The sequence below is a fragment of the Homo sapiens genome, chromosome 21 (genome assembly GCF_000001405.40).
Source record: "Homo sapiens chromosome 21, GRCh38.p14 Primary Assembly".
NCBI lineage: Eukaryota > Metazoa > Chordata > Mammalia > Primates > Hominidae > Homo > Homo sapiens.
In genome coordinates this window covers 27,263,825-27,289,557 of record NC_000021.9, presented here as the reverse complement: position 1 = coordinate 27,289,557, position 25,733 = coordinate 27,263,825, and the positions used below count along the sequence as shown (strand labels likewise).

Here is a 25,733-nt window from a genome sequence, read left to right as displayed (position 1 = left end):
GTAGTGAAAATATAAAATTAATTATGAAGACAGAGTAGTCTTAGTCAGACATGGCCCTATAAAGCATATTCCCATTCGTTACATCAACCAGAAAACAGTAAACTGCAATGCATTCTCTGAAATTATTTTCAGCCTGTTGATTCTGATGTTTTATACAACTGGCCTTTTTCCCTCTTAAAATATATATATATATATGATCCCTTAACTTTCTTCAGTCTTAGAATTACATCATTACTCAAAAATAATTCCCAAACTAAAACTGATTACATAATTAGATTATTGCTATCTTTTAGGTATATTTAACTTTTATATGTGATCTAATAATATCCTTTTGAAATAAAGTGAACATTCATACTACTTTTTATGAAAGTGCTAAGGGGCTACATCACAGGGTAAATATGTTTTAGTTGGTTTTCATATAAATTCCACTCCCAATATTACACATTTTAAAAAAATATATACATTTATGTTATGATAACTATTCTAACAAAACTGTTAAAATGTGTTTATGAAACTCTTAGTAGAGTTAAGTCATACAATTAAAGTTGATCTTTCCTCAGTCACTTAGTCCAATCATTAACAGCCTGCAAGTTAAAGTTTTTAAACAAATTATTGCAGACTCTTAATCATAAAGCAATCGGTCCTTCCACCTACAAATCTGCAGGCACATTGGGACTATCAAAGTTGCATATTTTTCCTGGATTTGAAAGACACTGTAGCAATCAGCATTGAAGAACTATAAAACTTAGCCAACAATAATGTGAAAGAAATGTTTAAATATATGCTATAAAATATAAACAGAGTGGAATTCCTTAGTCCATTTTTAAGTGAAAGAGAAAATCAGGGAAGGGATAAGAGCTCAGCTGGAAGGTGAAAGAATAAATGGAGTTCATTCATAATCAAAATACATATGTGCACACAGCTACAGAGGAAAGGGAAAAGAATAGGGGAGAGAACAAACATTTTCTGATCGTGAACAATTTGACATTTTCTATGTACATATGCATGCTATCTGATATGGTTTGGCTCTGTGTCCCTACTCAAATCTACCTTGATAATCCCCATATGTCTTAGGAGGGACCTGGTGGGAGGTAATTGAATCATGGGGGCGGGTTTTTCCCATGCTGTTCTTGTGATAGTGAATAAGTCTCATGAGATCTGATGGTTTTATAAATGGGAGTTCCCCTGCACATGCCCTCTTGCCTGCCGCCATGTAAGATGTGCCTTTGCTCTTCCTTTGCCTTCCACCATGATTGTGAGGCCTTCCCAGTCATGTGGAACTGTGAGTCCATTAAACCTCTTTCCTTTATAAATTACCCAGTCTCTGGTATGTCTTTATTAGCAGCATGAGAACAAACTAAAACACTATCTTATTGATTTTTTATGAGCCTTATGAACTAGGTTCATTTTCACCTTTATTTTAAGGATAACAAAATGAAGGTCAGAAAGATTTGGTAATTTCTCCAAGATTAGATTAAGTACTAAGCAAATTTAGTCATATCTGTCTCTCCAAATGGTGTGATGTCTCTACCACATGAGTTTCTGATTGTTTTGACTCCCTTTTTACAATCTCAACAATTTTTTAATTTACTTGACCTGGCATAGACAGCAAATGTGGTTAAGTCCAGACACATAATTTCTTATTAGAAGACAGTTATAGTCTGGCAACTATCTAAACTATTATTTAATGGAGAACCAGAAAAATGCCAAGAAACATCTTTCTTTGTTTGTTTCTTTGTTATTTTCTTGCTTGCTTTCTCTTTTCATCTTTCTTTCTTCCTTCCTTTCATCCTTCCTTTTTTCTTCCTCCCTTCTTCTTTGTTTTTAGACTTTAAAATAGAATGTCCTGACAATGACTTTCCAATGATGACTTTCCTAATAATGACTTTCACTTCATTTTATAAATAAATCTAGTCTTTTCAGCTTAAAAAAACTGCACTCTAATTGTGATCTTCTTCAGCTGGTATACACATCCATTAGTCCCTGTGAACTCTGGAGCAAATGTATCTAAGCAAGTCAGTCTGAATGCATTCTTTCTTCCAAATCTGAAAGTCCTGCTTGGGAAAACAGAGACCCACAGGAAACTATTCTGGTGATGAACAGGGGAGGACAGTTGCAGGACAGTGGAGTGAAGAGTCTGGCACCATTCTGATAGCTGTTATTTACATCTTTTTAATTATTCCAGTGCATATATTGAAGGACTGTAGAAATTCAGTTCAAATTCCACCCCACATTACTAAAAGCAACTGCTGGTTGGTACACACTTGGCCCTGCTTCTGGCCTGCTGGAGGGAGACACCCAGCTGGCTCACTTGGTGAGGCACATGTGTATGGTTTGCATCTTGAGTAGGACTGCATCCAAGATGGACATTGTCTAGCCTGGCAGTTTGATAGAATGCTCCATTATTTGTATATATTTGCTCTACTGGCTACAAGTTGGCAGAAAACACCTTTTTCACAGGTAGGACAATAGAAGAACAGACAGAAATTTGTCAGAAAGCAAAAGATCTAAAGCAAAAAGAAATTCCATGTGAACCCTACACTCTCAGAGCCAATATGGCCAAGATAAACAGTTTATTAGAGAAAGACCAACAATCAGCAGGAGGGAGACACAGATTCTAACAGTTGCAAACATGTGACCCTGCCTAGACTGAATTATTAGTACAGGCCAGAAAAGAGAAGAAGATTTCAGATTGGGCAATAGTAGGAAAATGGAATTAGGTATTGTATAGTGGATTAGAATTGTTTATTTGGAGGACAGTGTGTGTTTCTCTTGTGATGGTCTGATATATTTGACAGTGCAAGTATTTAAATGAGAATCAAATTTATGTCTACTTTACCCTCTAGAAGACAAGGCAGTTTTGTAAACATAAAAAATAAGACTATTTCTCGTCTACCTGTAATAACCTCTTATTGCTTTTTTTCCATTAGTCCCTACAGATCATCTTAGTTATAGCTAATTTCTACATAATCAAGCTTATCTCTAATACTGACAGATTTAATTTTAAAGGGTAGTATGAAAATCTTTTTAAAACAATATTGCACATTACCTATTACTCTTCATGATTCGGGATATCACAATGAATAGCAATTATTATTTTTCCCAGATGCATTTATTTATTCAGAAAAATGTGTTCCTTTCCAAAATAATTACAAGCTTTCCGAGTTTAAAGATCTGATTCGTGTTGCTTTTATGTATCCCCCTCTCCCTTCCAAGCCATATCTTGCACATTGAATATGTCTGCAATTTTTAGTCCTCTTTCTGTCTCTGATTCCCTACTATAAAAAAATACCATAATCAAGCTAATATATAGAAAACAATGTGAAGGCACTGATTGCTTAGTGAATCCTAAATAATAACATGTTTTTCATAGCTCAACTGCTAATGAAAGAAGGCCTTAGATAAGGACCGTGTTTAAAAGCATAGACTTTGAAGTAATAACTCCAAGTTTGGCCAGGTGTGATGGTTCATGCCTGTAATCCCAGCACTTTGGGAGGCCAAGGCGGATGGATCACCTGAGGTCAGGAGTTCAAGACCAGCCTGGCCAATATGGTGAAACCTCATCTCTACAAAAACCACAAAAAATTGGGGCATGGTGGCACTCACCTGTAATCCCAGCTACTCAGGAGGCTGAGGCAGGAGAATCGCTTGACCCTAGGGGGTGGAGGTTGCAGTGAGCCAAGATTGTACCACTGCACTCCAGCCTGGGCGACAGAGTGAAACTCCATCTCAAAAGGAAAAAAAAAAGAAAACTCCAAGTTTAAGTCCCAACTCTATCATTTCTGGCCATATACTTTTAAGTAGATTATTATGTCTCCTAAGGCTTGCCTTACTTGTGTGTAAAGAAGGATAATGACAGTGTTTAACTCATGAGATTGGTGGAGGGATTAAATAAAATATGTATATAGAGCCCTTAGGACAATTAAGGTCTCCAAAATAATTTTAGTAGTGGAAGTAGTGGTATTCTGTGAGGACATGTGATTTTAAAATCCTCTTTCACATGAAGATTTTATCCAACTACAAGCGTACTAGAGTCTGATTGTTTTACTAACCATAGAAATCCATGCTAGGTAGGCTGCCTTAAAATGATGTTCATTTTTAGTATTTCAGTAATTAAATCAAGGTGGGTACATCTATGAAAAGTTCACCTAACATTTACTTTCAATATATTCTAGCAGTTATATAGCAATCTCCATCATACCTATTTATTTTGAAGTAATTTTACTTACTTTATATAAAGACAAATGTTTCTTTAGATATTTAAATGTAGCATATTTATATATAAATGAAACCAGTAAATCTGTTAGCAATGATATAGCTATGAAAAACTGCATATATCGTATTAATTTGTCTATTCAAAAAATATATGAAGATCAAACACCTACACTGTATTAACGATTGGGAATGCAAAGGAGACCACAGTGGTGGGCAAAGTTTTTTCATGGAGCTTACAGTTTAGTAGAGAAAGGAATATAAAAGTGAACCGGCAATAAATAATTCCAAAATGTTATAAACCTATGAAGAAACAAATAATAAGGATGTGTTTTGAGATGGAACCTAGTGTAAATCATGGAGTGAGAGAAAATGTTTCACAAGAGGTGAAGTGTAAGTTGATATCTAAAGCAAATGGTAAAAAATAATTGAATGTAAGCTGATATTTTATATCTGAGCAAAAGGCAGGTAAGGTGAAAAGTGTTCTAGGAACAGGGGTCTGTGCAAAGGCCCTGTGATAGGAGAGAGCTGGCCATTCCCAGAAACTGAAAGAAGGATTTTGAGAACAGGAGAAATATTTTAAAAGGAAGGCAGAAGTTTATAATTTGGGCTATAGAAAAAAAAATGCCCCTAGATTTAGCCAAAGTACCTTGAACAGTCATTGCAGAATTTTAGGAAGGATTCTAACAAGACCTGATATTCAAGCTCCTTTGATTGTTGTATCTACTGAAGGGAAAAGACTTAACAGGGAATTGACTAGACAGATTGTGTTGAGAGTGAACATACTGAGACTAGTTGACAGGCTCTACTATTTTATCTTCCACATAAGAGATCAGAATTGTTTGGCTACATTATAAATATTTTTGAAGATAGAACTCAGAGGACTCAATCACTAATAATTGTAGAAATATAAAAGTTCAGCAATACAAGTTGGCAAGAATGTGAGTCAATAGGAACTCACACTGCTTATGAGAATGCAAATTGGCACCACCACTGTGGAAAATAATTTGATATTGTCATCAAAAATGGAGTAAGTTCACACCATTTGATTCAGAAATTCCCTTTCTGTCTTGTGCCCTGAAGAAACTCTTACATAGGAATATGGAGAGATATATGAACACATTACCAGCATTGTTGTAGAAAAATATGTAAATGCCTAAAGTAAAACAAAATAACCACAAAAAATTTCTATGAGCAGAATAAATCCCTGTTTTGTGATGTATGTGCAATGGAAAACTATACCATGGTGAAAAAAGTAGCAACGTGCCTTAATATGGATGAATTGCATAGATATGATATGGAAATAAGAGATAAAATTACAGTATAAACGTACAGTCAGAAACCACTAATATAAAGAAGCAGCTTTCAAAGTTTGGTTTAGGAATATCTAAAGTATTTCTTTATAATAACACTAAGATGAAGGGAAAGTCAGAGAGATTCAAAGTGAGAAAATGATCAGGCTGTATTGCAGAAGGTGTCACCTTACCTAACATGAGAAAAAATGTTGTCAACCTCTAGAAGTAAAGGCTGGTCGCCACCTAACAGCCAGCAAGGAAGCAGGGATCTCAGTCCTACAATCACAGGGAACTGAACTTGGCTGTCAACTTGAATGATCACGGAAGCAACTTCTTCCCCAGAGCCTACAGTAAGAAAGGCAACCATGCTGACAACCTGATTTTACTCTTCAGGGAATCTAAGTGAAGGACCCTATAAAGCCTATCTAGGTTTCTGATCTGTAAGTCAATTTTTTTTTTTTTTTTTTTTTTTTTTGAGACAGAGTCTCGTTCTGTCACCCAGGCTGGAGTGCAGTGGCGTGATCTTGGCTCACTGTAAGCTCCGCCTCCTGGGTTCCTGACATTCTCCTGCCTCAGCCTCCCTAGTAGCTGGGACTACAGGCGCCCGCCACCACGCCTGGCTAATTTTTTGTATTTTTTAGTAGAGATGGGGTTTCATTGTGGTCTCGATCTCCTGACCTCATGATCCGCCCTCCTCGGCCTCCCAAAGTGCTGGGATTACAGGCATGAGCCACCACTCCCGGAGAATACTTTTTTTTTTTTTTTTTGTCATTTTAAGCCACTACATTTGTGGTAACTAGTGATTGCAGTAGAAAAGTAAAGGCTTACCTGTATTTAATTATTAATGTATGTAATTCAATCCTCTACAGGTTATTGATAAACTCCCTGGGTATAACTATGATCCTAAGGGTCTTCAATGATTTATATTGAAAAAAATGAAAATGTGATATTTAATAAATATCTTAGTCCTCTATTTAAAATTAATGATTTGTGAGAATATTTGCTCTGAAGAATGCAGCCTAAAGACAGACTACAATTTGTAAGTCATCTCTGATAGCCAAAACCAAGGCTAAGTTTTTACAGTATTCAAGATTGAGATCCAATCATTTTTGTGATGGAGAAGGAAAATACAACTATGAGAACTGGAACAAAAATAAAAATGCATTATGACCCTCAAACGTCAGCCCTGGGGTTACCAAAACATGGAGGAAGCCTAACCGTAGCCAAAGATTCTCCAAGGATATTGTAAAATAAAACTGTTGCACAAATTCTTTTTTGTGGAAATTCCACTACTCTTTCTAAAATATACATAAGTTCCTCCAATTTGAAATTTCACTTTTTACTTTGAAGAACGAATATGTGGTTGCTACAATGAGCATACTTATATATATTTTATTCACAAATAGTTTTTAAACAGAGGCCGGGAATGAAGTGTTTTTGTTTTTGTTTTGTTTTGTTTTGTTTGTGTTTTGATGGGGGGCTGGCTCCTTTAGCACCAGCTCATTATCAGGGTTTTCATTACTCTGATAACCTGTTCATAGTAGTAACATGTAGAATTATTTATGTGCAAAAATTGTGTGATAAGCATGATAGTCTTCTCCCTGGTTCCACTTAATATCATCACTCTAAACCTTTCTAAAGTTATTCAATCTTATCACAAGGACATTATACTGTATTTTATGTATCTCATGTATTCTATAACCAACTTCAAATCCTTTTTAAAAAAGATACGATAAGTAGAATTTTTAAATGTATGTGAATACTTTCTTTGGCAGGGTATGTACTATAATTGAATTGATACAGAGAAAATTATCTTGCACATCATCTTGTGCCCAGGGATAACATACAAATTCACAAAGTATTCCATATTTTATGCATTTATCAAAACTCGGCACGTATACTCATGATTTGTGTTTACACAAATCTTTTACATCAGCAAACAAAAGAGGCATGCTGAAGCCTATGTAGGGAAATGTACTAACATGTACCAATTACCATGAAATGCATCAAAGATAAAATAGACTTATTGATGGATAGAGGAACACATAGATGAAAGAACATATAATAACACAGATATAGTAAAATAATAATAGGAGGAAGACGGGAGACATCTGAGTGTATTCACACTAAAATTTAATGTTTTAAATTGTTAAACTTTATGTTTGACAATTCTTGCTATATATTATTTATATCATTATATATAATGAGTGTATATATACATAAGTATGTGTGTATATATACATATATAACTATGTGTGTGTATGTAATATCTAATTACGATAAGTATTTCAGAAAAATTTGCATCTCAGCTTTGTGAATTTTTACCTTTGTAAACTTGACCAAATGACCTTCTATTTTATCTCTGAGCATGTTTTTCATCCATAAAAAGGAGAACTAAAAATCGTCAAGATTAAATAAGATAATGTTTGAGATACAATGGCTATGTGGTGAAGAGATTAGGATGTGTGGGGTATAGATTAGGCAAGATAGGAATTGGTGCTCTTGCATAAAGCTGAAACTCTTGGAGAGCCAATCATTAGTAATGTCATAAATTAGAAAAAAATTCCCATATGAAAAATGTCAGAGATAAAAATTTTTTCGATTCCAAGGAATATAAATATGTCTGCCACAATAATTTGTAAACAGAACCTGTCCTCTGAGAAGGCTGGAATTTCATTTTAAAGTAACTAAATTGTTTGGGATACTTTTAGCCAACTATTAACTTAAGTGGGTCCTAAATTGTTAAAACCCTGGTTTGCCTGTCAAAAACTAATGGAATCTCTATTAGAAAGATGAACCCTCAGACTCGGTTTCACATGATGTCCAGTGGCAAAGTCCAGCAAAACATAAACTAGCAATCTATGTTCCCCAACTAACAAGAGCTATGTGTCTAGAAGTACGAATTTACAAAAACCATAAACGGCACAATTAGACCAGTATTAACTTAAGAGGTTGAAACGGTCAGACTTGGAATATGAAAAAAGAATGTATAATTTTGAAAGAACAAAAGTGCATTGAAAATACAAGCACAGAACATGAAACAATAAAAGATAGACCAAAAAATTGCAGAAATGAAACATGTAATTATTTATATTTTAAAAGTTAAATGGATAGATTTAAAAAACAAATAGATGATCACATCTGAAGATATCAAATAAACTGGAAGACAGATTGAGGCCTAAAGCCTGCCTGAAAGAAACAGAGACACCAATAAATGAAAAATATGAAGGAGAGTTAAAGAGAAATGGTGAGTATAATAAAAAGTCAAAAAGATCTAATTGGATTTCTACCAAGATAAGACAGAGAGAGTAGAGAAGATAAATTAATAGCTAGAAATACTACTGTTTTCCAAAACAGATGAAAAAATGTTCCAGGATATTTAGATCAATAAGCATAAAACATTTCCATTAGGATAAAAATGTTATTTATAGTATACATTACTAAATCTACCAAAACCAAATAAAAACAGAAGACTTTTTAAAGAAAACGGTATTAATAGCTCTTTTACAAATTGTCTATTAGGTTGGCCTATGAAGGTCTCAATGGCCACAGTGCAAACAGAAAATAATTGAAAGATATTTCAAAGTTTTGAGAGAAAGTAGATACCAACCTGGAATTAAGTTCCCAAATCAACAGTAATTCAATAATGAAAGTCAAAAAATGCTCCAAATGTTTCTAGTAACACATATGTTCACTTTTTAAAAAATTTATATGTACAGGCCGGGTGCGGCGGCTCGCCCCTGTAATCCCAGCACTTTGGGGGGCCGAGGCGGGTGGATCACAAGGTCAGCAGATCGGGACCATCCTGGCTAACATGATGAAACCCCGTCTCTACTAAAAATACAAAAACAAAATTAGCCGAGTGCGGTGGAGGGCGCCTGTAGTCCAAGCTACTCAGGAGGCTGAGGCGGGAGAATGGCGTGAACCTGGGAGGTGGAGCTTGCAGTGAGCTGAGATCGCGCCACTGCACTCGAGCCTGGGCGACAGAGCAAGACTCTGTCTGAAATAATATAATAATAATAATAATAATAATAATAATAATAATAATAATAAAATAAAAATTAAAAAATGTACAAATCTGTATATATTTCACTTCGATAATCAAAGAAAGGAGGTCAAATGAGGGCAATTTTAACAATCTTTATTTCTAACTTTCTATTTAAACAACTTCAATATGAGCATCAACACCAAAAATTAAACACTGACAACAATATAATGAAGTAATCTACAGACCTTATGCAAATTTCATTTATTGTCCTAATAATAGTGTTCCTTTTTCTGGTCCAGGATTCAATCCAGGATCACACATTTCATTCAGTTATGGGATTTCCTTCGTCTCCTTTATTCTAGGACAAGTACACCATCGTTCTTTATCCTCATGACACTTCTTTTTTACTTAACCAAGTGATAAATTTAACATTGCAAGTAATGAGACACCCAAATAGTATGTGCCACCTGAAATGCTGCCTTGTGAAGGGCATGAATCACTTTTGTGGTGTTCTTGACATAAATTCATAATCTTATTAAATTATCAAGAAATATCAAAGCCAAATAAATAAGGATTTTGTAAAACAGCAAATTATTACTCTTCAAATGATTAAATGATCACAGAAGGAAGACTGAGAGACTAGAAGAAATGATGGGCAAAGAAATTGATATACATATAAATAAATCTAAATTAATTACTAGATAGAAGGATTCATTGTACAAAAAGGAATAATTAAATTATATAAATAATGTATTCCCCCAATATGTGCTTGGGGATTGTTCTTAAAGAAGTTAGAAAAATATTAGATTTACTTTAGATTCCTTAAGAAAGAATGTTAAAATGTCAGTAAACAGTTGAACACAGAGGTGCTGTAGTCTAAATGTTTGTGTCTCCCCTAAATGTATATGTTAAAATATGAACCCCAAGATGATAATATTAGGAAGTGGGGACTTTTGGGAGGTGATCAGACCATGAAAGTGGAGGCTTCATGATGCGATTAGTGCCCTTATAAATGGGGCCCAAGGGAGATCCTTGGCGCTTCCACCATGTGAGGACATAGTGAGAAGGCACCGTCTATGAACCAGGAAATGGGCCCACACCAGATACAGAGTCAGCTAGCATCTTAATCTTGGACTTCCTAGCCTCCAGAACTGGAAGAAATAAGCTCTGTTTCTCACAAGTTGCCCAGTTTATGGTATGTTCTTATACCAGCTCAAAGTAATTAAGAAAAGGAGAAAAAACATGTTTTACTTGCAAAGAAAACAGGAAAAGAGGAACAATTAAGTCAGGCCAAAAGACAAATAAGTAGGAAGAACAAAATATGTAGAGACAAAAACAAATATATTTTTGATTGAAATAAAATAAGATAAGCTCACTGGTTATACAAACAAATATAATTTAGTTGGATTAAAAAATGACTCTAGGCCAGGCGCGGTGGCTTACACCTGTAATCTCAGCACTTTGGGAGGCTGAAGTGGGCGGGATCATTTGAGGTCAGGAGATCGAGACCAGCCTGACCAACATGATGAAACCCTGTCTCTACTAAAAATACAAAAAAATTTAGCTGGGCATGGTGGTGTGTGCCTGTAATCCCAGCTTACTTGGGAGGCTGAGGCAGGAGAATCACTTGAGCCCAGGAGGTGGAGGTTGCAGTGAGCTGAGATTGTGCCATTGCACTTCAGCCTGGGTGACAGGGCAAGACTGTCTCAAAAAAAAAAAAAGACTCTATATATTAATAAATGTTATTTATAAGGAAGACCTCAAGTGAATAGTAACTGAAAGAAAATATTCAAACTATATTGATGTAATAAAACAGATTTTATACTAAAAATAATTATTAAGGATATACTGGATCCATAATAATAATAAAATTGTCATTTCTTTATTAGTTGTAGGGTAAAAATGATATATAATTCTTGAAAGACACTTTTAAAGACTTGCAGAAATTGAGAAAGCAGCCATTTCTCAATTTTCAACAAGGTCACTTCTCCATGAATGTATCTAAGTCTTTGTTACTTGACTGGATGGGCAAACGTTCAAAAAATTGGCAAGATAATTTCATAAGACAAAGAGAAGTGTGAGGAGGAGGGAAGGAAAGTGGAAGGAGCAAGGAGGAGCCAAAAAAGAGAAGGAATTACCCTGTTCTAAAAGAAATTTTATTTAAAGGTAAAACAATGAACATTTAAATAGTAATCCACAGGCGACAAATCTAAGGCCACACAGTGAAGAGCTGAAATACAGAGTGCTGAATCAGTTGGAAACTCAACATGTGACAGAGGCACCAGGTCAGTAGAAAAGGGCACAGTAGCCATTAAATGGAGCTGGGACAGTTATTCCTGTGATAAATTAAGTTAGATCCATACCTACAGGATACACACACACACACACACACACACACACACAAATGAATTCAAGGTACGTTGGACCTAAAAGTGAATACTGAAAATGTAAAAATTTTTAAATGTGTCTGAATGTCTCTGTTGCCTCAGGGAAAAGAAATGTTTATTAAACAAGATATAAATAGCTAAAACAGGAAAGATAAGGATAAAAAGTAGATACTTTTAAAATTTCTTCTCATTAAAACAGGCAGTATGTATGTGAAAATAAAAAACCAAGCTCTGGGAAAAATAACATAATCTGCAAGAATTCTTATCCAAAGTATGTAAATAACTCCTATGAATCAACAAGATAAAAAGTCAGCTATCCAAGCAGAGAGGTCAAGGTTTATGTACAGGCAATTCCTAGGGAAGACATCCAAATGGTGGGTGTGTTTCTGCATGTTTATCTGAAAGTGTGCTAACTTCAGCAGTAATAAGAGACATGTAACTAAAAACCATAAGAAAAAAATAATCATTTCATACCTCCATAAACTTGGCCCAATTAAAATTCTCTCTCTACTTCTCCCCTCTCCCTCCCTCCCTCTCTCTCTCTCTCCATAAAAATGGCCAAATTAAAACTCTCTCTCTCTACTTCTCCCCCCTCCCTCTCTCTCTCTGTCTCTCTCGCTCGCTCGCTCGCTCCCATGCGCTCACACACACACTACACCGGCACATGCACTACTATACACTACTGTAAATGTGGCTGATTGCAAAGAGTAACAGAATATCTTATGCATGCTTGAGAGCAACAATTGGTTCAACCCTGTTTGAGAGCAAGTTGGTGAATCAAATAAAATTGTAAATGTGCATACCCTATACAATTCTGTGCCCTTCCCCCCTCCCGGCCTCTCTCTCTTTCTCACTCAGAGCAAAATGTCCATTAAAAGATAATGAACAAATCAATTGTAGAAGAATATGTTGAGGCCATCAATGGTTTCAGTCATATTTTCTTTCTTGAGGAGGATCCTGAATGTATGATGTTCACTCTAGGTTCTTTATTCATTTTGGAATACTGAAATATTTGATAATCATTCAAAAAATAAAAACAAGGTGTTACTATAAGGTGAAAGGAGCAGAAATTCTGATTTGAACTACTTTATTTTATTTATAGCTTATATGAGCCTGAGAAAAATCCCTTAACATTAGTAAACTTGTCTTTTCCCACTGGTACACATTAATAATAATCACATCTCTTCTGCTACTCACAAAATTTATAGGAAACTCAATGAAATAATGCATATAAAAGTGCTTTGTAAGTCAAATAATCAAACAAATATTAGCTTTCTGATAAACATGTTGTTACTATTATAATCATGTTGTTACTATTATAATTACAATAAAAATAATTATCACCTGAGTAATTTACATGATCTGGTATCTTTGAAAATGATAATTTGAACCAAATGAGCTCTAATGAGCCTCTGCACCTAACATTCTGAAATTGATCTGTGACTAAAATCAAACATTGCAAAAGAGAAGGATGATGCTTATTGGTTTGTGCTATACAATAAGTGACAATCATCATAGTTATGATTCATGAAAATTGAAACAAGTAAAAGTAACACATTTAATATTATATAGGGCTAAAAATATTCATTTCAATACCTATTGTTATGAGTTGAAATTACTTCATACTGAAAAATAAACTGAAAAGTTGGATTGAATTGGCCAAGTGCCTCTAAGTGAATTTGAGAGTTAATTAAGTATAATACTGAGTGACATGTAAGAAGATCAACACATTTTAACAGAAGTGCTTTTTCAGTGATGCCACAACTTCTGGGAATATTAACACACTGGGTGAGACAATATTCTGTATCCCAGAGTTAACAACTAAAAAGTTAACTATATTTTTCCATCACATTCAGATAGGGAGAATACAAGCACAGAGAGCAAGCCTTTGGACCTACTCATTAGAAAAAATGTGTTCCTTCAGTGGGTTCTGGAGCCTAAATAGAAAACCAAAGGGAAACATGGTTTTTCTGAGCAGTCCACTCCAGATACACACTCATGAAATCTTGCTTTGCAAAACTTGGTCAAACTTGACAAACTCTGGTTCTATTCATTAATACAAGATAATCACAAAACACAAATATAACAAACAAGGAATTATAGACAAAATGCTTAACAGTAAGGGCTGTGAAATAAACCTAAATCTAAATGCTGTCTCCACCACTTCCTGCATGACTTGTTTCTTCATCTGAAAAAAATGACAGTTACAACAGTAAAAAAACCTCATATGCAGGCATTCGTTTCTGCAGAATTGAATCAGTGACTAATATGGTTATGTAATTCCTGGCACATAGTATCTCTTCAAACTCTCAGTGATGGTTAGCTGCTATAACCATATGTTTGGGGGAAATCATGAGGGTAATTGAAAATTTTGCAATTAATAACCCTCAAAATATAGAATTATTTATTATCTATTTATGTAACTTAAATTTACCTACTTAAGACTCTGAATCACAGAGGTTATTGGTTATAAAATTTGGCCTGAAATTCATTAAGTACTATCTCTGTGACCTAAAATTACAGTACCTTTGCCTTCTAATATTTTGCTACAATTTATAAATAACCTGTTCTTTATTTATTTCTATGTTCCTATACCCAATAATGTTTTCCGGAAGTTTTCTGTCATCTGCTTTGGATCATTTTGTTCGCTTTTGTTTCGTTTTAGTTAGATATAGTAGATTTTATTTCTGTTGAAGCTTACTTTTGCTTCTTTTCCTAATTTGAAAGTGCTTTAGCAAATTTCTCACTGCTTATAGCATTATTCTGAAAGTATCACTTAATAACATTTATATTTATAAACAAATTGTTTCCCCTATTAAAGATGCTAATGAAAATGAAACACTGTCACACAGCAGAAAGATGACAAAATGTTATCCAATCATATCCAACCAACTTTCCAGAAGTTTTGTTTACCATCATCAGTTTCAGATTCCTAGGCCTTCAAACTCAAAGGGAGCATCGCAGTCCTCTGATGCATCATCCTCATTTTTACATAAGAATGTCAAGATCTGCATCAGTTAGACAAATTAATTCAGCTGAAATTAATTCAGCTGGAATAAACCAAACATACAGACTTTAAATTCTAAGTCATTTCTACTAAAACACACCAGTAATTTAATTTACGTGAGTAAAATGTTATAAAATATGATAAGTAGTCCACTAAACAGGAAACGATTTTTAAATATAAAATAAAAATTCTTTAAATAATATTTAAAGCTTCTGTGTTTTAACAAAAATGTTAATATTTTTTCCCCAAAGTTTTAATTTTCAGGTATTTCTAGCCTCTGTTTAACATTTTCAAGAACTTATATTTTGTAATTCTAAACAATCATATAGTCTACTCACCTAGAAACCAATGAGATGCTTTTTTTTAATGATTCAATGGCAAATGTCTTCAGTAAATATTTAGAGCACCAAAAGTTTCTACTAAAAGCTGTTTTGCATTTTAATATAATTTTAAAATTGTTGGCAATTAACATCCTAGAATATATTCAGTATTTTAGAAATTTGTGCTATTCATACATATTTAATAAATCAGAGGTTTTTATAATGTGTTAGATTACAAATCAGGTTCAATTTTTGACCGAAAAGCATGCAGACAAGATAAGAAGCTTCGATCATTGTTTAAATGCAAAGTTAGAGGTATTTTAGAGGCATGTTTTCTTGAGAAGTAAAATAAGAAGAAAAAAATCCCAAAGGGAAAGACTGTTCTGAAATCCTAAAGAAGTATCTTATTGCTGGCATAAATTTTTCTTTAGGTGATCATAAAGACATCAATTTCAAATTCCAAGTTTTTCATCTTTGTTTTTAAATGTTCATAATTTATTCATATATAATAGTATTTAAAATATCTCATCATTCATTTCTCCAAAAAAAGTCTCCAAATACAAGACTTTGAAAGCCTATGAACAAACAAATTGTTTCCCCTATTAAAATGCTAATGAAAATGAAACACTCTGTCACACAGCAGGAAGATGACAAAATGTTATCCATGATGAAAGCTCCTAGCTATTTTTCTTCATTTCAGCACTCTTCATATTCCTCATCTTGCAGACCATTTTATTTAAAACATCTAATACAATCTTAAACATTTCTTTGTTCTATCTACACAAAAATTTTTGACTATATATTACACGTACTTTATATACTTATTTTAAAATTATATTTGAAAGTTTACTTTTAAGTCAACTTAAACATTAACCTAAATAAGACTAACCTAAACTTTAACAAATATTAATAACTTAAACATTAATCTAAATAGAACTTATTTAGACCAAACTCTTCTAGAGAATATTTACATCCTGTGTTTTAGAAACTGTGGAGCACAACAGGTAGCTTTAAACCTCCTGCTACACCCGTGTGGGGAAGCCTCTAGGCAGTAAATTCTCTTTGGTACAAATTAAAATTTGATACTTTATTGATATTGTTGATATTGGGGGTGAAGTGGGGGTGGTGATGGTGGTGATGTTGATGGTGGGTGTGAAAGAGGAAGGGATTTAGTTGTTTTCCACTTATGAAGTGCCAGAAAGTTTCCCTCAAAGCTCTGAAAGTTACAGTATAAACCCCAGCATCTGTTGATAAGACTTGCTTTTTACCTTGCCTGGACATCTTCACTTGTTTTGTGATAGGGCTTGACCATCCTCATCTTTCAGGTCTTGGGTAAAATGACATGTCTTCAGAGAAGCCTGCTCTAGGAAAAATAAAATAAAATAGCAAATCCTCTTTCCCAGTAAACTTTCTTTCACATTATCCCAATTTATTTCTTATAGCCCCCATCACAATCTAATATCATCTTGTCTATATGATGATATACTGATCTATTGTCAGTTTCATTCTACTACAACAAATGAGGTCAAGCCCTTCTATGTCTTATTTGCTATTGTACTTAATCAACTCAATTGTTACAACTTGGCTTTTCATTTACATTTTACTGCAGGAAGAGAAAGTTCTGGCCATGCTGATATAGTCTGCGTGTAAGTCAAATATTCCTTGTAAATTAAAAACTTGGCATTTTGCTATCTGTATGTCTAGGTCATTCTCTCTGAGCTGAAAAGAAAGATCCAGGTTTGGGACCTGGAAAGTTGGCATATGGTTTCTCTTTTTTTATGATCTTCCACGAATAGTAAACCCCTTCCCCTACCTAGTATCATCTTTGATCTTACCATGAGACTTACATTCTTAGTAGAAATTTCATTAAAATCCCCAGCTGGACCTTAGCCCTGTTTCTGATTTAGGTCCAACTCATGGGCCTCTCTGGCTAAAGATGACTTTCACTGATTAATTGATCTTATTCCCAGATTTCTTTGGTTACTGTGGGTTCCATAACTCTTACCTTGTCTGCTTGGCTTAACAATCTGTTGCCTATTTTCACTTGTTTTATTCTTATCATCCTCTGATATTTCTGGTTACAATAATTCAAAGGTGACACCCACTGCGCCAACTGCATGCCTTACGACGATGGGGATGACAACCAATTCAGTTCCTTTTTATTTTAAGGGCAGAATTCACATTTTGGCAGATATGAAACCAGTAAGAACCCTTCACTTAGAAACAAAATAAATAAATTGGACCTATGCACCATAAATTAATATGAAGAACATCTGCTCAAATTATTACAAGTCATTATTATGGTCATAATATGAACTCCACCCAATGTTACTGGGAATCCAATTACTCAACAGGCAAAATTTAACAAATCTGGTTTGAGCTTGTGATAAAGAACATGGCTATACTGGAGCTAAAGAAATACAAGATCATACTAAGTCCTAGCCACATTCTATAAAACTGTATAACAGGCCATTAGGAATGTCTTGTTTTACAGACAGATATTAAGAGCTTGATTAAGAAAAAACATCAACAACAATTATTTTGTTGAGTAAGAAATTTCAGGAAAACTTACAAAGGGTTCTTTTTCAAACTTGTGAAACTCCATAAATGCTAATTTCACATTATACTTGTTAACTGTACTTAAACTCTACCACCAGGCACAAAGAGATCCAATGCTCCTATGGGATTAGTTTCTACATCTCATGTGTATTAAGTGATATGTTTTTCTATGAGAATCACTGTGGCATAAAGGAGACTGCCAAGTTTATGTCTTGGAAATTTGACATTTCTGAGTTCCCAGTCTATGTCTGTGGCTTTCTCACCATGTAGTCCTGGGCAAGTTATATAGTATTTCTAAGTTTTGACTTATTTAGCTACAGAATGGGGAAAACAATGCCTAGTTTTCAGAATTAATCTGAAATTTAGAGTGCAAAGAAAGATGTGAGACACATAGATCTCAATAAATGGTAACTTTTCGTGATTATACTCCCACTAGTTGAAAAATCAGAAAAGCATTAAAGTATTGTGGCAGACATTGATGAGCTGAAATGGATATTAACACAACACACATCTTCAAATTTTAACTATTTTTAGGACAATCATTGATAAGTCTTGGTATGACAGAGGGATATGTCTATGTTAGACCTTGGCTAAGGTCAATTGTGTCATGGATTGAGGTATACCTGCTGTCCTGTCATTTCCTGGAATCAATAAACCAAATCAAAACCTCTTTTTTACTTCGAAAACGGCCACATCCTTGGTGCTTCTAAAACTCAGAGGGAATCAGATCAAAATAGAAAAGCACAAATGATAACGCCTGGCTTTCATTTGCATTCCCTTTTCTCAAGTTGCATTGTGATGTGGTGTATGTCTTCTTACTTCTCTCTCTAACAAACGAAAACACTCCTACTAATAGATAAAAAATACTAACAGGCCAACCTCATACACTAAGTTTGCATTATTTTATAAGCTTTCAAAAAATGATGTGACATGTCCCATTAATGGCAGGTTAATATATTTCTATGTCATTTGTTTCATCTGCTGGAGCCACCAGGCAAGATCACACATATCTCTTCTACCATAACATTCATTGCACTTTTTACAAGGACTGATTGTGCCATAGCCTTTTTTCCCTTCTAAAAAGTGACTTCCAAAAGTTCTTAACACTTATTCAATACAATAATGGATACAATAATGAATACATAATAAAGCCATGGATGAGTCAGTGAGTGAACTTATACACAGCAGTGGAGAGTATCAGCCAAATCTCCATGTTTTGAGGGCTTACTAGTGAAAGAAAGAATCATAAGCTCTAAGAGCAGAAGAAGAGAATTTCTAGCTGAATTACCATCGAAATAGTTATGGAGATAACACATATGATATGGTTTGGCTCTATGTCTCCACCCAAATCTCATGACAAATTGTAATTCCCAATGTTGGAGATGGGACCTGATGGGAGGTGATTGGAACATGGGGGTGGACTTCCCCCTTGCTGTTTTTGTGACAGTGAGTGATACTGATGTTTCTGGTTACAGTAATTCAAGGGTGACTCCCACTGCACCAACTGTATTCCTTACAATGAGGGAGTTCTCATGAGATCTGGTTGTTTGAAAGTGTGTCTGAAAGTGTGCACTTCCCATTAGCTTGCTCTCTCCTGCTCTGCCATGGTAAGAAATACTTGCTTCCCCTTTGCCTTCTGCCATGATTATAAGTTTCCTGAGACCTCCCAGCCATGCTTCCTGTACAGCCTGTGGAAGTGTGAGTCAATTAAATCATTTTTTTTCATAAACTACCCAGTCTCAAGTAGTTCTTTATAGCAGTGTGAAAATAACCTAATAAAACCTATTAGATGCAGATATTGAAAGATGAATATGCATGGGTACATGACATGGAAAAGAAAGGATCCTCAAGCAGAGGAATACTGTCAATAAGGATGCTGAGGTCAAGTAGGCCTGCAGATAAGTGGTGATTCAGCAACCTCAAGAAGCTCCAGGACTAGTGACTCAAGGGAGAGGGAGGGAAGGAGACAAGTCTGAAAAAGTGGATTGGCTAAAGAAAAGGGTCATGTTGCAAATCCCAAGAATTGCATAAGAAAAGATTGCAAGAAGTTGTTTCACTTAAGAGAAAATTTGTAAATTTGTAATTTGTAAACAAATGAGAAAATACCTTAAACTTCCAGGACCCCAAAGGAATACCATTTGAGCAGCAAGATTTTAAAACATGTTTTTGTTTTCAAAAATTAAAAAATAGTCTTCCATGCTGCTGAAAAGTTTATGTTGATTTTTTTTCATAGTTTTCAAATAGAGGACTAAGCTTATTTAAATAAATAGATACTTTAAAGATATGTCAGTAGGAACAGAAAGGAAAGGAACACAGTGGATAAGTGGTAAATTAAAAAAATATACTAATTAGTAGGATTTGAGGTTATCACTTGAACACAAATGTAAACTGTTTGATATCACTCTCATATTTGGGCCTCACATGTAAAAGTGTTATTAAAGAATTTGCAAAGCAAGGAGAAACATGTTTTACATGTTTTTTTTGTCCACAATGTAGTTGTCATGAGACAATAGACTATTTGACTTAGCAAGTCTTCAGTTATATTGCCAAGTATATTGTTCATCACAAATAGCAAATCTTTCTCCAATTCAAATAAGAGAAACTTTACACTAAACTCTATCTTTCTTTCACTATAAAAACCATGATTTCTTATTTGTTGCCTCTTGCCATAAATCAGCTACTTTTCTAAGTAGTGATAGTACTCCCTTTGGAAGGGAGAGATTGTAAACTGTGATGTACCACTGCTGACAGTAGAATTTTTTATAAAGCCCAGTTGTTGCACACACAAACAAAACAATATCAGGTCATGAGAAACATTGTTTTACTCAAAGCCCTATTCATTTCTATGATGTTTCTCAGTTACAAGGGAGCTGTATCATATTTATGCCAATTAAAAATTCTTTCCATTTGGAGGAAAACTCAAGGAATGTGCTTTCTAAACAAAAAAATAAAAATAATTACTACCATAGCTTATCAATTCTTTACTCTGTTGATAAACAAATCACTGTTACTTTCAGCAGGCATTTAAAAGTAAAACAAGGCTTGAGTTGTCTCAGAAGAAAAATTCCAAGACCTTAGAGAAAGCTGAGTAATTAAAATAGGAGACAGTTAACTTGCTTTTAAATGGAGGTACTAAAGTAAAAGCAAGACATAGCAAGAAAGCAACAATTCTTCTTCCCTATGCGGTTTTCACAAGCCAGCTACAGTAAATTATTAGTGAAGAAAAACAAAATCTACAGTGATTCTCCATGAGTCAACAGTGAATTATAAGAAAGGGCTGTGGTACAGGGAGAGTGTTACATACATTTTGCAGATAGTATTGTTTTTGTTGGTTTTGAAGTACTGTTAAAACAATATTTCAATTATACCATTCATGAATCACAAAGCTATTTTCAAAAAGTTGCACTTTGAAGTTTTTACTATGTAGATGATTTAAGTAGTGATGTCATACGAAAATAATCTCATAAAATTAAACTTAACATGAAGATTAAAAGTTCACTAGGCTTTTTCACTTAGTGTTTGAAATTTTAAAAGACAGAGACAAACTAAGGAAGGACAGAATTGCTTTTAAAATCAGAATACATGACAGAAATCACAGAACAGGAAGAGACTATAGGCTGTGTAGCCCAACTGTGTACCCAATGGAGGAAAGTCTTCTAGATCAATGCTTTACCATAGATGGCATCTTCAGGACTGAGGATGTTGTTAAAATGTAGGTTCGGCATGGCAGTTGAGATTCTGCATTCATAACAAGTTCCAAAACAATGCCAATTGTGTCCATGTGGACTTCAGTGTATGCAAGAATTGTCTCACTAGTCTATTATGAACACTTTTCATGGCATGGGACTCGTTGCTTTAAGAAGAAACAATTTTTTTTTCCTCGAATTAAGTCAAAATTTGCCTCTCAATAATTTCCATCCATTGGTCCTAGTTCCAGCCTCCAGAGTCACAATTGCTAAGTCAAATTTATATTTTTACTGGAAAGATTGAACTTGAGAAATGTATCACCCTTGAATCTTTTCATTGCTCAAAAATTACATCCCCAATATGATAATTGAGACAGGAAGAAGACAGGGTGGTTGCAGGAGAATAGAAAATTCCAGGCAGCAATTTCACACGACTAGCAAAAGGAAACTATTGAAATAGTTGCATAAGCTAGGGGCTGACAAGACCCTGAACAAAACAGAGGATGAACCAATCTGGCTAAGGCCAACTGGACCCAACATGCACTGGATTTGACCTAAGTCTCACCTAGGACCTCATTATACACTCATTAACATACTAAGTCATACACCCACCAGCGTCATGATAGTTCTGAGAACAACCATATTTAGTGTAAAAACGGGTGGCACCACAGTTCCAAGAAATCTTAACCTTTGTCCAGGGGCCATCGTGAATATTCCACCCCTTGGTTAAAGAAACCCATAAAGGTAGAAACCTCAAAGCCTCTGGTGTGACACTCTGGAGTACACCTGCACTCCGTTTCCTTGAGTGTATACTTTTCACTTTGTAATATTAAATCTCCGTTCTTTCACTATTTTCCAACTTGTCCTTGCATTATTTCCCGTGACAGGGTCAAGAACCTGGATACCAGCTGAGATTGAGGTCCAGCTGGCATTTGGGGACCTCCTCCAGCCTACTAGTATCATAATGGCTTTGAGTTCTCTCTGCTACACTGTTTGCTCTTTACTGGATCTGTTTCAATGTGTAAAGTCTATCTAAAATTGAGGCCCCAAAAGGTAAACACAAGACTCAGTCTAGATTGGCTCTGGTGGTTATTGTGTGCTTCAAGTTATGATCCTACATTTCCATAAGGCACTTTGATTATGACTAAATTGATGTAAAACCCATGGACTCAACTTTGGCCTAGCATAGCAACCAAAACTGACAATGTATATGGCTAATAATTCCCCAGAAAACAATCCCCATGTCAATGGAAATAATTAAATAGCTAATCTCCTCTTTCTCTCTGTCTCTCTCTCTCACTCTCTCTTTCTTACGTAGAGAACTCTCAGGAAAATTTCCTTACTGGCTTAGTCACCTCGTTTACAATACCCTTCTCTCCCTTTCTTGTCATCACTCTCACACCGTGGCCTCACACTTTTTAAAATTATTGAACTCCAGTGGCCTCCATCCCCGCTCCAACTCAAGCCTTTACTAACATGTCCACACCCTAGCTGTCTCCAGAAACCGCTTCTCTTCACGTCCTCAGATTCTGGCCACTGCTTCAACCTGAATACCACCTGCTCTTTCATAACCCATGCAGAACCTGATTTGTGTTTTTGCTGTGATCCTTGTGCCTTTGATCTCTCCATGCTGTAGTCGTCCCTGGTGCCAATTTGATTTCACTTTTCTTTCAACCCAGTTTGCAACTTCTTATTCAAACAGTTTAAGAACCCTCTTGCAATGTATCTGTAATGCCTCCTGCAGGGTCCACCCTTCTTTTCCCCAATTCCAGCCCTGGGAAATTCTCATTATCTGTTTTCTTTGCTCCTATCTGTACAAATGTGCATGGCTGGAGGAAAAAAAGTGGTTTCAACTTACTGATTTTATTAGAAATGAGAGTGATTCAAACTTCACTGTTGACTCTGTATTTCACTCCCTATAGCAACCGATCCAAACTTTTTTCAACATCTTGAAATCTCCAACCCTCCCCAGGAGCATAAATTTCAACAGATGAACAAATGATCTCAGCGAAAATTCTCTGAAATTATCAAGACCACCTGGCATATGATCTCTTCACTTCCCTCCTCTCCTTAGAGTTTCTTTGTATTTTCTTAGGACTTTTTTCTTCCCTCACTTTAGCTTGTTTGGAGGAAGACTCTCCCTTTTATAAATGCCACAGATCAAGTGTCTATATATTTCCCCTTAACACATTCCTGCTTGAATAATGTTCTATGTCAATTACAGATTCTGTCTTGTCTTTTCGGTCTCTCTACTGGTTTTATACTCTATTACCCATAAACATGCTCAATTTCCATGTCCTCTAACTACCTTTCTCTTAAGCCTATCTCTTTTGTTTTCACCTATAAACTTGTTGAATTAAGCCAGTGCTTCCTGCCTACACTTTAACCAAATACTGTCTTTGTAAGCCTATGCAGTTTGAGTCTCCTTCATTTTTCTCACCACCATCTCACCACTGAAACCAGTCTATTGAAAGTTACCTCTGATCAAGCTTAACAGCATTTTCTCATTCATGCTCCTCTTTGCCCTCTCTGTGGCATTTTATATTACTGTTCTTTCCCAAAGCTTCTTTTTATTGATTCCATTAACTTGTATTACTCTGGCTCATCCTATCTCTCTGCTCTTGTGTCCAATAAAATAAAAAACCTACCACATAGCAGATGTATTTCCTATCTCCTTCACTTTCTATTTGAAGTTAATAACATATTCTCAGCCTTCTTCTCTCTGTAACTGTTCATCTACCACGAATGTAGCATATGACAATGACTTCCACATCTATATTTTTATCTCATACGTCTCTATAGTTTTAGAGACATAAAGGCATCAATCTACTGCAATAATTTCATGTAAAAATTCTAAAGATACTTCAAAATATTCAAAATTTTTCTGATTAACTTTTTGCTTAAATATTCCTCTCTCCTATTTTTCTGTCTTGGTTGTCAATATCATCATCAATATAATACCCTAAGACATCTGCGTTATGTCTCATCTCTCCTTACATAAATCATTCAGCCAGCCGGACACAGGCTCTCACCTGTAATCCCAACACTTTGGGATGCTGAGGTGGGAGCATTGCTTGAGCTCAGGAGTTTGAGACCAGCCAGGACAACATGGCAAAACCCCATCTCTACAGAAAAAAAAAATAATAAAAAAATAAGAATTAGCTGTGGTGGCACATGCCTGTAGTCCCAGCTACCTGGGAGGCTAAGGTGGGAGGATCATTTGAGCCTGGGAGGTGCAGGTTGCAGTGAGCTGTGATCAGGCCACTGCACTCCAGCCTGGATGACAGAGTGAGACACTGTCTCAAAAAAAGAACAACAACAACAAAAACTACCCAGCCAATCATGTTATTACTTTTGTCTAATATCTTTCACATTCATTCTATTCACTCTCTGCTTCTCTTTTCACTGCTTTAGTCTAGGTTCTTATCATTCCTCAGAAGGTATATCATAATAGCCTCTTAACAGGTCTCTGACTTTCCACACCTTTAATCCATGCTCCACGTTGCTAACACTAAAATCTGTCTCTTCCCCAGACAGATTCCATACCCCTTCAGGAGGCACACGTTATCTTCTGTGGCCTGACTCCTACCATATCAGTGTACTGTCACCCAGGTAAGCCAAATACTGCATGCTTACCTTCAATTCACATTCTTCTCTCTGACTAAAAATGTCCCCTTCTTAATACTTGTTGAAATGTGCTCTTCTTTTAATTATCCGTTTCCAATTGCAGCACGTAACCTATTAATAGTTTCCTAATTTCCACAGCTGGGAATAATACCAGCATTCAGTCAATTCCTGTGATCCCTGTTTGTTCCCTTAGTTATGATACTTATTGTTGAGTATGCCTTCTTTGCTTTTTGTCTCTAATTAGATTGTAATCAGGCTGAGAATAAGGGCACATATCTCCACCTTGAACAGTGGCTATTAAATAATCTTTTATTCTTACTGAGAGAATTAAATTTCCTTTGAATGACAAATAAAAAAAAACCTAGATTAAGGTTTCACCTGTAAATTTTTTATCTTTGAATTATTCATTGAGAAAATTCATATTCAAATATAATACTGATGAATGTTATGCCTTTAGAATTAGGAAGCCAAAAAATATGGACCACTTTTAGATAAAATATAGACAGAAGCCAGAAGTTAATTTATTTAGCTTCCCCTATATAATTTCAAATTGGGTTGCTGTGAATCACAGAAGAGCTAAGGTAAACAGCTCTTTTAAGGTATGATTGTTTTCCTCCAATGTAAGAAGATGAGAGTTGAGTAAAACTGTTTG

General features: G+C 35.1%; 1 long non-coding RNA gene across 1 annotated transcript in view; it reads left to right on the top strand.

Annotated features, from left to right (window-relative positions):
- LOC102724355 (uncharacterized) overlaps positions 1–25,733 on the top strand; it is a 177,651-nt gene that overhangs the window by 61,788 nt on the left and 90,130 nt on the right. Inside the window, exon 2 of the long non-coding RNA XR_430359.4 lies at positions 24,988–25,066. This is a non-coding gene — a long non-coding RNA (uncharacterized LOC102724355). The remainder of the gene's footprint in view (positions 1–24,987; positions 25,067–25,733) is intronic.